This window comes from Homo sapiens, chromosome 8 (assembly GCF_000001405.40).
Source record: "Homo sapiens chromosome 8, GRCh38.p14 Primary Assembly".
In the NCBI taxonomy this organism is placed as follows: domain Eukaryota; kingdom Metazoa; phylum Chordata; class Mammalia; order Primates; family Hominidae; genus Homo; species Homo sapiens.
In genome coordinates, this window is record NC_000008.11 from 59,957,626 (window position 1) to 59,970,653 (window position 13,028).

At 35.0% G+C, this 13,028-nt stretch overlaps 2 annotated features.

Annotated features, from left to right (window-relative positions):
* Positions 10,245-10,539: a silencer, noted in NCBI's record as "tiled region #15202; HepG2 Repressive non-DNase unmatched - State 24:Quies, and K562 Repressive non-DNase unmatched - State 24:Quies". NCBI's record gives its function as "represses a minimal TATA promoter and a strong SV40 promoter by Sharpr-MPRA in HepG2 and K562 cells {active_cell/tissue: HepG2 | K562}" and the evidence as "EXISTENCE:reporter gene assay evidence [ECO:0000049][PMID:27701403]".
* Positions 11,459-11,628: an enhancer, noted in NCBI's record as "active region_27418". NCBI's record gives its function as "activates an Ori minimal core promoter by ATAC-STARR-seq in GM12878 lymphoblastoid cells {active_cell/tissue: GM12878}" and the evidence as "EXISTENCE:reporter gene assay evidence [ECO:0000049][PMID:35858748]".

Below are 13,028 nucleotides of genomic sequence, written 5' to 3' on the forward strand. Positions count from 1 at the left end.
GCAAATAATTACAATTGTCCAAAGTGCTGTTGAGTACAGGAAACTCAAGCTCAGGTAAGAAATCTTGTTCAGAAATAGACTTGAGCCATCGGCATACATATGGGTGGTATTTGAAAGTGTGGGACTAAATGATATCACCTAGGAAGAGCAAACTGGAGCATTTTAAAGGTAATTTTGAAATAGCTGCTATGAGGACTTAGAAATGAAGATGTTTAGCAATTAATAAAAAAGATTATTCCAAGTGCCACGTTTTCTTCTTGTATATAACCTGTAAGTTTCTAGCTAAAAATTAGCCCTCTCCTTCAGGTGATGCTAAATTTGGTTGATTCAAACTGCTGATTAGTTCACTAAGAGGAAACTTATTTATAAGCTATTCATCAAGTGTGGTGGGTTTTACATCTTTTAAGCCTATTGATTTGACGACACATAAATGGAGCTGTGCTTCTCTTCTCTAAAATGTTTTCTGGTCATTATGTATTTATTTCATTGATTCTATTTTTAATACTATAAATCATTTTTATATCTGGAACTTCTCTAAATTCTTCACATTTTTTTGTCTTCTGAACTTCTGAATGTGACCGTCTACTGAAGTAAGGTAAATGTGTAGTTTTATCTATGTATGTAAAATACAATTTTATACATTTTATTAATAAATTCTATTTTTAGTTTTATTTTTCAGTGTCATCCTTATACAAAACCTCCTCCTCCACTTAGTAACAGCTGTTTGGGGTCATAAACTTTGTTTTGTTTAATGGTTAGGAAGGTTTGCCTCAAGCAAGGTCTCCCATCTTGGGCCCAGTCAATAGGTATATTTGTTCCTAAGGAAAAGGAAACATTTACTCTGATTATCTTTAAAGGGGATATATAAAGCTTACATATTTCCCCTACAATTACACCTTTGATCATATTGCCTAAAATTGACAATTGTGTTTTACAATTGGAACAGTGGAGTTAATTAAGTAAACCCTAGGATAAATAGAAGAATCTAAACAAGGTAGTGAATATTTAATCTGATTCCAACTGTAGCGAAGCACCTTTCTAAGAATAGGAAGTTGTACATTACATAGCAAAGGAGATTTTCATTCATTTTTGTTGGTGTCATTTTGTGACCACACGGCCTAATTTCCAAATTGCTTCAGCTAACTTTGTCATGCTAAATAGCTGGAGCAATTATAAATTAAATAATCAGGAGAAACTCAATTTCTGGTTTCCACAGGGAAATTCTAAATTCAGAAATTTGAAGTGGAAGTTGAAAACGTAGCTACTATGAGTCACTCTGAAGTTTCTGATGCCCTTAAATCTATGTAAAGGCCATGCTTTTTTTTTTTTAAGAAGAAAGAAAAGAAATGGGAGTCAAAGTATAGTCTTACTCATTGCTGATTCTAAAGAAATTCTCCTTTAGAAAATTTCCAAAACATGTTTTTTTTTAATTTTTTAAACAATAAGAGCATTCTGAAAGCTCTAAGAAAGAGAACAAACAGATCTTTGAGAATTAGTTCAACTTATATACCTTTTTTTTTGTAATTAAGAACAAACTAAAGCTAAATGCATTGGTTAGTTTCTTAACATGAAATTATGTATGAACCATGTATAAAATATATTTAAGTGGATAATTTGGTATTTTTACCTTTTTCACCTATACATAAGAACAAATATTTAAAACAAATATTAGTCATAAAAATGATAACCTAACATGATGCTATGAAATAATTCATCTGCAAGGAACTGCAAGAATGAAAAACTCTATCACTAATAAATAGTAGATGGTAAAGCAAGCAGCCATGGTCAATAGTAAGAAAGTACCATTATTACTAAATGGTACTATATGCTCATAACGCATGTCATTTGTTATATATTCATTGATCCAATAAAAATTTATGGAATTCCTATTAAGAAATCTAGCCAGGATGCAAGATAGGAATGTAAACAAATAAGCACAGTGTAATAGGTACAATAGCAAAGGATGTTTCACATGATGAGAAATAAAATGATTTTAACTGAAGACATAGGCAAAGCCTGAGAGAGAAGGCCATCTTTGTTCTGAGCCTTGATAAATGAATTGGATTCATCATGCATTTCTTCTGCACTCTAGACAGAGGTAAAGAGGTGTTACAATCTCAACCCAAGTGTCCAAATCTAACCCCACTTCAGAAAAACTCAAGATACTTTTAAAGACTTTAGCTTTCTTTCCTGAAAAGTTTTGATTCAGTACATCTAGAAAGGGACCCAAGAATTTGTATTTATTTCTAAACTCCCAGGTGATATTATGTGAAGTTTGGTGTGAATTGGGTAGGAGGTGGGAATGGGCAGTAAATTTTGTCGTGAAGATGTACTGGCCCTCATTTGTGAATACCTTTTTTTCTAAAAGACAATCTAAAGCAGTTTTCTCAACCTTTCATGTGCATATGAATCACCCCCTGGTAAAGACAAATTCTGATTCAGTAGGAGACTGCATTTCTAGCGAGCTCCCAAGTTGTACTGATGCTGCTGGTCTACGGACCATACTTTGCTGCTCCAGTTTGATAAATTGACAGGTAAAAGGGCACAACAAAAATTAAGAATGTAAGTGTAGGAAGGTAGAGGAAACACCCCTGGTTTCCAAGTTGATGGGGAGACACTGTTGAATGTTTAGAATTTTTAATACTCTCTGGTCTTGGTGTATCTTGGATATTCAGGAGGGAAATAAGTTGCTTTTATTAACTTCACAAATTAACTTTCTACTAAATAGAGAATAGTGCAATGGTAAAAACTATGTATTCTGAAGTCCAATTGAATGGCTTCAAATTCTACCTTCATATTTTGATAGCTATGATAGTGTGAGCAAATAATAATAATAATAATAATCTGCTCGTACCACATTTCCTTATTTGTAAAGTGGAGATAATAAGAGTACTTACCTCTCCAGAGATGGGGAGGATTACTAGTTAACATATGGAAAGCGTGAAGAGCATGTTCTGGCCCAGTCAAGCAATATAACAACATCTGCCACTTTCTTATCTTTGTTTGTTTTCACAGATATCAATATGAGGTCATATTGAGAACTGAAAGAAATGTTCAACTTGTTATTTTTCTCACAACTCCCTTGGCTTTCTGGTAAATCTGGCTTTCAACCCTGTTCCTTTTTTTTTTTTTTTTTTTTTTTTTTGAGACAAAGCTTCGCTCTTGTTGCTCAGGTTGGATGGAGTGCAACGGCTCGATCTCGGCTCACTGCAACCTCCGCCTCCTGGGTTCAAGCAATTCTCCTGCCTCAGCCTCCTGAGTAGCTGGGATTACAGGCATGCACCACCACACTCGGCTAATTTTTTGTATTTTTAGTAGAGACAGGGTTTCTCCATGTTGGTCAGGCTGGTCTTGAACTCCTAATCTCAGATGATCCACCCACCTTGGCCTCCCAAAGTGCTGGGATTACAGGTGTGAGCCACCAGGCCTGACCCCTGTTCCTTCTTATTGCAACATGATGAATCTCCCTTCCATTTATTCCTCATCTATCTGTCTAGTCCCATCATATTTAAAAATCTTATACCTTTACCCAGCTTACTTTTTCTTCTCCCATTTTTAGATCACCTAATCCTCTATGAATCTGTGAAACTCTACCTCTCAACATTTGTTTGAAACCATTCTTAACCAAGGTCAATGAACTTTTTCTCTAGGCAAATCTGTTTTTCCACATTGTTAGTCATCTCTTTCTCAAAATTTGGCAGCCATTTCATAGTAGAAACAAAAATTTCAAATACATATTATATTCACAAATGTTATCACAATTTTAAACAAAGCCACAGCCATTGTAATCTGGGGTTTAATGGATAATCTAAATTGGGGAGCAGGTGTGCAGATTGGCAAAGGGAAGGCAGATAAGTATTCCAGGTATATCAGACAGCATTAAAAAAGCCCACCTGTCAGCTGGGCTAACCAACAGAGACATCAGACTCACCACCTGACTTCTGTCATGCTCCAACTCATCTTTCAGACCTTCACTGCCCCAGTTCTCTTGCCCAGTTGTTTAGGTCTTATTCCTAAAATGAATTCCTTACTTGTAATAAATGCAATGGTTCTGCTCCCCTGATTAATACTGAGTGACACCAGAGTTTAGAATTCAGCCTTGATCTCATAGAAAATAATTGAACATTAAAGCTTCTCAAGCAGAGAATGACATGGTAAAAGTGGGTCTTTGGGGAGATGACTTAACAGTGGTTTTCATTCTAATTTCATCCTGGCTTGTGAGAGTTAATAACTGAAAGAAGAGATAGGACCACATGGCCTATCATGGTAAGTCAAGTGAGAGATAGAGTCCTCAGAAGGGAGACAAAAATAAAGAAATGATCAGATCATCAACTCTTCAAAGTCATTGACTCTGGTATTCGTCTTTTCAGCGTCTTCGTGGTGCAATACAGCCCTGGACACACAGTAGAAATATGTCAAAAGTTTACAACATTTGAGAAAAAATTAAATGCATAAAATATGAGTCATGCTTTTCATTTATTAATACAAATTAAAACAAAATAGTCCCCAATTTCCACTGAAATGTAAGCTCCATAAAACTATAGATGTTGGAAATTTATTGTACCATTGCTGTACTTTCAGGCCTCAAACAGCGCCTGGTGCATATTAATGTGTGGATAAATATTTATTAAATGAAATTAATGACTGATGCCACTAGACATCATAATCTCTTTCTTAAATACATAACATGGAACATTCATTCAGTTGAATTGTTTATTTCAAAAGAAAGTTTCCAAAATCAGAGTTTACAGAGAATGCTGCACAATCACATAAATATCCCCAAACACTTAATCTATGAATTAAACTTAACTTAGAATTTCAGAGTGCAGAATTCTATAGAAAATGACTTCATGAAAAAGTTTATGTTCTTTATCTAAAAAAAGTTTATATTTAATATATTTCTGTCACAGGATTTGTCATTGTTGTTGCTTTTTTTTTCCTGGGCAAGAAATGACATCGAGAGGTTTTTTTCCCACCATTCAGGAAAATCATTTTAGGGCTATAAATATTAATGGGTTTAGTAATAAATTACACACTTGAATGGCATTTTATTACTTAAAACTAAAATATTAAAAACCTTATTTGAAATGCACAGAGAAATCATGTAATTTAAATCACCTTAGACTTGGAAATGGACTGCAAAACACTGCTTAGAAAGAAGGATAATTCTTAAAATATGTATTTTGGTAATGGGCCAACATATTCCACAGAATCATCTAAAAAGAAAGTGGACAGATTCTCTGGTCTAGTATATTTTTTCTCAGATAAGCAAATTCTTTTTATTTGCTTCCCTTGGCCATTCTCTAAAATTAATAACATAAGCACTGAAGTTAGAATTGCTAAGAACTAATTTTTCTTGCCATTGAAGCAAGATTTTCTTCTCTCTGAAAATGAATTTACTAACAATGTTATAAATCAAGGGTGTCATCTCCTAAAAAGTAAATCTTACAGATCGGCCACACACATGACATATATACTCAAAAGTATGTATCCAAATCATACTTCTTCCTTTTGGAAATTTGGAATTAGAATTAATAATTTAAGCATTGATATTAATTTATTTCTCAACTGTATAATAAATGAATTTCTCAGATGAATTCTATCTGATCATTTTAGAGATAGAAATAATAATTTTATTCAGGAATCAATCACCATCATTATATCTTCAACCAATATCATGACCAGGGCATAAGATACTGTCCTTGCTCCCATTAATTTTGTCCAAAATTCTTTAATTCTAATTAATTACAAAAATAATCAATAAATATGTGGTTTGCCTGGAGGAGTTGAGCGTAGTTGTAAGTTAGCCTATTTTACGTAAGATAAAACAGGTTTTAAATTTAGCTACATGACCTTTCCAGTCACTAATCAGAGTTTATTTTTATGCCACTTCCCCATTAAGAACTTTTTCAGTGATTCCCCCACTGCACACAGAATAAAACCTGGTTTCCTTAGCTCAGTAGTCAAGGACCATTCTAATCTGCTCCAAGACTTCTTCTACAGTCTAATTCTCATTCTTATTTTACTGTCCACAACAAGCCATCCACATCAGATCTTTTGCAGTTCCTGAAGATGCCTCAACTCTTCACTTTCAAGGTGTCAGTGCAACATGAAGGGAACACCTGGAATAGTCTCCTTTCCCACCACTAGTTTCTCCCATTCTTAAAAACTGTACCTAGTACTGCCCCCAATTTTACAAAATGTTCTCATCTCTATCTGCCTTACCTGCCAGGCCCTGAGACTGTGGTAAAGAGGGATCCTGTCTTATTCATATTTGTATTTATTAGAGAAACACATAAGTGCTCTGTTAATAGTTATGAATCGAATCACATTAAATTGAATTGAAACTGGAAGCTGGGGTAGTGGTGGGGATGGGAATATGGCATCAAACCAAGTTCTCTAATGCAGCCACAGATCAATCAGCAAGTACATTTCTCAGTACTAAAATCCAAGATCTGGATTGGTCACTATAGGGGGTAAATAAAAAGGAAAACAGGCCAGCGGGCTGGCTCATGCCTGAAATCCCAGCACTTTGGGAGGATGAGGTGGGTGGATCGCTTGAGCCCAGAAGTTCAAAACCAGCCTGGGCAACATGCCAAAAGCCAGTCTCTACAAAAAAAATACAAAAAACTAGCTGGGCATGGTGGTGTACACCTATAGTCAGCTATCCAGGAGGCTGAGGTGGGAGTATCACTAGAGCCTGGGAAGTCGAGGCTGCAGTGAGTCATGATTGTACCACTGCACTCCAGCCTGGGTGGCAGAGCAAGACCCTGTCACAATAAATAAATAAATTAATTAATTAATTAAATAAATAAATAAATAAGAAAACACCTTCAAGAATCCACAGAATAATGCCTTAAATTATCTCATTTAAAGAAGGGTGACAAGAGCTAAATTTGACCAGATGATTTATATACAGTACCATTTAAGCATCAAAACAGCCACTTTAAGGGACCATTACTTTTACAAGTGAAAAAACTGAGGCCCAAAGTCACACAGCAAGTAAGTAGCAAGATAAAAATGTAAACTCACACCTGTTAGGTCCCAGGGTTTGTGCTCTCAACCACATCCAATCGCCTTGAGTCTCAGAGCGAGTTTTGTTGTCTATGCTTTTTAAAATGTCACTTCTATTTTTATAATTTAAAAGTATATATTAATTGCAGAATTGACCATAGTGCCACTACCCAGAGGCAACCAAATTTTGTTTTCAGTTTTTTTCTGTGAGAATAAATAAACAACACATATGTTTTCCTGATATTAGATCACTATGTATACTTCACATGTTATGATAATTTTATTCACGTTTTGCACTGAACACTTTCTACATTATTTCAACATTCACCTAAAATATGTTTTTATGCTACATATTATTTTAATTATGAATTAACAATAATTTAACTCTATAAAATCTTGCATCATTAGATATCTAGCTTGTTTTCTACCTTTTACTATTATAAGTAAAATTTTGTAAGCATCCTTGTGCATAAACATTTTTGTGCATCACTGATTATTTATTTGGGGTTTCAATTTTCAACTTTTATGGGAAAGGGAAAGAAAGTCACAAGGAAGTTAAGCTGTATCTGATTTCACACTGCTAAAGAGTAATGAACTCTAGACTTCAATGCAAACCATCTAATCCGGGTTTTCCCAACTTCATACACCGTTAACATTTTGAACCAGATAACTCTTCATTGTCAGGGGTCATTCTATGCATGGTAAACTATTAAGCCTCACCTCTGGCCTCTATTCCTAGAAGTCAGTAGCAAGAAACCCTCCACTCATGACAATAAAAATTGTCTCCAGATATTATTGTCCAATGTCCCAGGTTGGGCGAGGGGATCATAACATCCCTCTCCTCTCTCATTGAAACTCACTGATCGAATATAAAAGACTCAGACCCATTAGATCCATCTACATTATATAGACTTGATTTTGGAGGGAGAAGAAAAAATCAGCATATAAATATATTTCATTTCCAAAAACTGGTAAAGGTCCATGAAGGATGCGACAAGTATTTTGCACTATATGAGACTATGTAATTGTCTTCAATTGACTTCAAGAAAACATAACGAGCATTCCTGAACACCAAAACAATATCCAAAAATGTGCAGAAAAGAAGTACCAGTTTTGTGCGAAGAATGACAAACCTGAATATATAAAAGACGGTTTTTTAATAGCCTGCAATATAAGACACTTCACAGTAACCACTTGAAAAATGAAGATAAAGCCCTGAATAGAGACAGATTGATATGTAAAGAAAAAGAAGGAGTAGAGGTTAATGAATTATTTCTAAATCAATATAATGTAATAAAATTCCCTCTTCTGTGAAAATGTGAAATTTGCATTTATGCCCAGTGAAATATAGATGAACAGTGATTGTGCTTATTACACCTGTCATAGTGAAAAAAAAACAGGGCACATTATCTACTAGTTACATTTGTTCAAAACTGATTAACCTTAATACATTTTTCCCTTCACTGATCTTATGGAGTTTACTGAATATAGCGCGTCTTGATTAAAATTGCCCACATCTGAATTCAAGTCATCTTTTTTTCTAACTCATATCTCTTCGATTATTTCTTTAAATTAACTGTTTAACTAATGGGAATAATGCAATCTCTTGGTCATTATATACTTAAAAACTCAGATAGGGAGTTTCCCAAAATAAAATTTTCAAGAAAATGAAAAGAAGATATTAGAATAACAGTGCTTTTGCCCTTTTCTATTGGTTTAGAATATAAATTTTTGAGAGTAACATGGAAGTCTTTATAAATAATCATTTTCCTTGTGTTCGAAATGCTATGTACTTGCAGTTTGCAAATATTCCATTCTGCTTTGGCTAATTCAGGCATTTTTGAAGTTCTATTATTTGATACAAAATCCTTGAATCAATATTTTTGTTTAACTGGGTGTGTTTTTGTCATTTGCCTACCTAGCAACTGACTGAATTTCCCTAACAGTTGATCTGATTTTATCATTAAGAAAACTAAAAGCACCTATTTATTTGTCAGTCCACAGTGTATGAAGAAAATTCACGGCTCTTCTTTTTTCACTTGAGTCTGATCTATTACTATTGTGGCCAAACCTGCACAACTGAGATATGTGGGGATTCTTTTTCATCACAAATCTGCATGGTAGCAAAAGGAGTAAAAACACAGGGCCAAAAGAGGTACATCCAGTGTCACAAATGAGACCAAGAATTTTCCAATCAGATTAACTCACTACAATGATGAACATTATTTCTTTGCAAATAGAGACTTTTTGATTATTAAATGCGAACTATATCTGTCTCAATTAAATTTTTTTGAAAAATGCTCTATCAGAACTACTTTTTGCAGCTTCATAATAATCTTGAGCTATACAATCAATACCCATACTTTTGGTTAATAATCTTTTGGGCCTGCACTTAGTAATATTTTTACAGAGTAAATTCATTTTCTGTTAGTGCATGCAGAAAGTGTAATATGAAAATAAAGCCATCCTTTTGTCATTTTAATTTACAATGGTTGACTCATTATTTAACTCACATCTAGCCTATAGTGTCTTTGACCTATTTACACAATCATCACGACCCTCCACCCCATGCACACTCACCCCACACTCCAGTCTCGGGCTTAGACTACTATCTGCCACGGCTCTCTCAAAGGAAAATATAGAGTGTGGTATGAGCTTAAGAGAAGAATAAAATTAATATATTGGAACAGAAGTGAAATAGTAAATATTCTGCTTGAATGAACAAACAATAACTTGTCCTTATTAGGTCTGCAGGATATACTACAACTGACTAACCATAATATACCCAGACATTTTTCAGAAAAAATTACCTCTGCCAAGTTACTTTCAATACATACTAAAAAGAAGGCTCAGTAGGTTAACACACATACATGCATGCATGCTGTCTCTCTCTCACACACACACACACACACTCACACACTCAACTAACAGGGCTTTAAAGTATGCCAAAGAGTCCCATTTTGAAAACACGCTGAAGAAGTACTCAGTACTGAGTTCTTAAAATATTTTAAAGTTCATTTAATTAATTTAAAACATGGAGACTGTAAGGGGGAAATGCACATTATAAAGTGATAAATGATTCTGTCTGTGATGAGAGAAATTCTACTAGGAATAAGTAAGAATAAGCACAAATCTAGTTGTTTTTAGAACTTGCTGAGATTCAGTTCCTCTCCAGCAGATCCAAGAAAAGTGTGAGACAGAATAAATGTCCTATTTTCTCTTTTTGAGCCTGGAGATTACTTGAATAGGTGACTTCATCATTTTCTTGCACTGTTTGTAATTCTAGGACAATTGCCAATGACACGTTTTTCTCAGCTATTCCAAGGCCCCAATTCAAACTTGTTTACACAAAAATTGCCAGGAAACATATTTAGCGGCAATAGAGTCTCCCTCTCTTTCTCTCTCTGGTCAGAGCCCATCAGAAGGTGTTAAGATTTTTTTCCTGTGCCAATTAATATGAAATTGCCAACATCCATCATTTTTAATGCAAGTGATACTCATACCCATCAGGGAAATATATGAGAGACAAATACCAAGATTGCTTAAGGTTGGTCTCAAGGTCAATCTCTTCAATCTACCAGAAACATTCATAGGCAGCTGAAATTTCTTATGATTTTTCAGTAATCTTTTAGAGCACCTTTCAGTAGACAAGTTGTATCTTTGTCATTTGAAGTGGCCAACACAAGTTTCGACTCAGAGACAGGCTTGGAGTAGGTTAAATGAAAGAGAACACATTTATCCCAAGACAAGATCAGTGGCAGACATCTCTCTTGGCACCCTTTTCCACTAGAGGGTTTGATATACCCCTTTGATTTAATATAAGATTGTCTAAAAATAAACATATTTATTTTGTTTATAGAGGAAAAAAATGGTGGGGGTTTGAAAAATACTTCACCGCTAAACTTTTAATGGAAGATTGCTCAATTAAATAGATGTAGGAAAAGGTAAATTGTACAACCTTAGCAATTTTATAAATTGGCTATTCATCCAATTTAATTATGAGTTTTGAAAGTGTCAGTATGTTTTTATATGAAATGACAATGTCTAAGTATATAAGCCTTAAATTAAAAACATAAAACTTAAAAACCAGGACAAAATATCATTCTGCTGTGAAAAAGTAGTGAAAAACATGGACAATTTAGTGGCATAGACACTACAAAAAAAATGTTCTTCCTTTTGAGTAAAAGAAAGAGGAAACCTACAGATTAAATCCCCAAGGAAGTCAATTGAAAGGAAAGAGCAAGTATTAACGCTGTCATACAATTTTAAAATAGCACCAGATTAAAAAGAACCACCGGGTACTTTCATTCTTATTTTTTCCATAAAGAAAAGTTGTATCAGCTCTGGTAGAGCAGATCAGATGATTTCAGAAACCACATCCTCATTACTCAGAACCAGATTCCACCTTTCAGTATTTCAGTATTATTAGTTCTGTCCCCAATTTCTTCTTTTGAAACCACTGCATGTGTTCTCAGTGGTCCAGTGACCACCACTGATGTTAATCAGGTTCCTTATTTTCATAACCATAGTGATGTTTAAGATGAAGTAGGTCAGGCAAGAGAGGGAAAAGTTATAACTGGGGAGTAGGTCAATGTGTGCTAGGAATATCAAACACACACAAATTGACCTTACTATTTTTAAAAATGGTTGTTACATTAGAGTTAAAAATAATTGTTTGATTTATCTTTTCTAGTTTTTTTAATGATCTGTTTTCACAGTTGGTGAACACATCTCATTTTGATATTTCTATAGGAGTTCAGAACTTCAGAAGTAAACACTTCTTACAGTCACTCCTCTCCATGGTAGGAGAAGTGACTTACCCAAATTGAGACAGGAGAGAGCCAATCATCCATTTAGATATAATAATCAGGGCAGCATTGCTTCATGGACACACAGATATTTCCCCTCACCCTCTCCTGCTCCCCCAGTACACAGGATGCTCTCCCATGCCTTTTTCACTCATAGGGAAGGTCAAGAGAGTCACAGCCCTTCTCTAGCTTCTTTGCCTGGGACCAGGAGTATCACTTGTCAGTTCAGAGTGCCCTAAACAGGCTCTCCTTTGTCTAATCCAGCTTCACCAAGGTATTGGTTATGTACTGCCACACAATAAATGTATTTTGGTGCTTTAAAACACATTTAGCATTTGTAGTCTCTCGCACTTTTTGTGAGTCAGAATCTCATCTTTTTCTTAGCAGCATTCAATGAATCCTTCATTCTAGAAACACTCTATATCTTTGGTTTTCATGAGACCATTCTCACCTTGTTTTGTCCTATGACTTTTTTGAAAAAAACAAAAACAAAAAACCCTTTTTTTCTTTTTAAATTCTGGTAAAAAACACAGTGAAAATTTGCTATCTTAACCATGTTGAAATGTGCAGTTAGTAAAGGACATTCACATTGTGGTGCAAGCCATCACTACCATCCATCACTAGAACCCTTTTCATCTTGCAGATCTGAAACTCTACCCATTAAACAACTTCCCATCTTCCCATCCCCACAGCTCCTAGCAACCAACATTCTACTTTCTCTATCAGTTTGACTACTCTAGGTACCTCATATGAGTAGAATCATACAGCATTTATCCTTCTCTGCCTGGCTTATTTCACTTGTATAATGTCCTCAAGGTTCATCCATGTTGTAGCATGCATCAGAACTTCCTCCCCTTTTAAAGGCTGGAGAATATTTCATGGTATGTTTAGACCACATTCTGTTTATCCATTCATCCATCAGTGAACACTTGTGCTCCTTCCAACTTTGGGCTGTTGGGTGTCCTGCCACTGTTGCTCCTAGTGCTCAATCTCGATTACTCCCTCCTAATCGAGTGTACAACGTTGGACACTGTGCAGGATGATGCCACTTCATCTTGGATGCTAATCTGCCATGTTGACTTCTGATTAACCCCAGGCCCAGGAATGCCTCAAGATTTCTACTTTACTTACTGTTGCTTGTGTAAGCCAAGACAACCTTGATGTTATCATAAACGTGTACTTACCTAAGTCCTGTCCTTTGGCAAA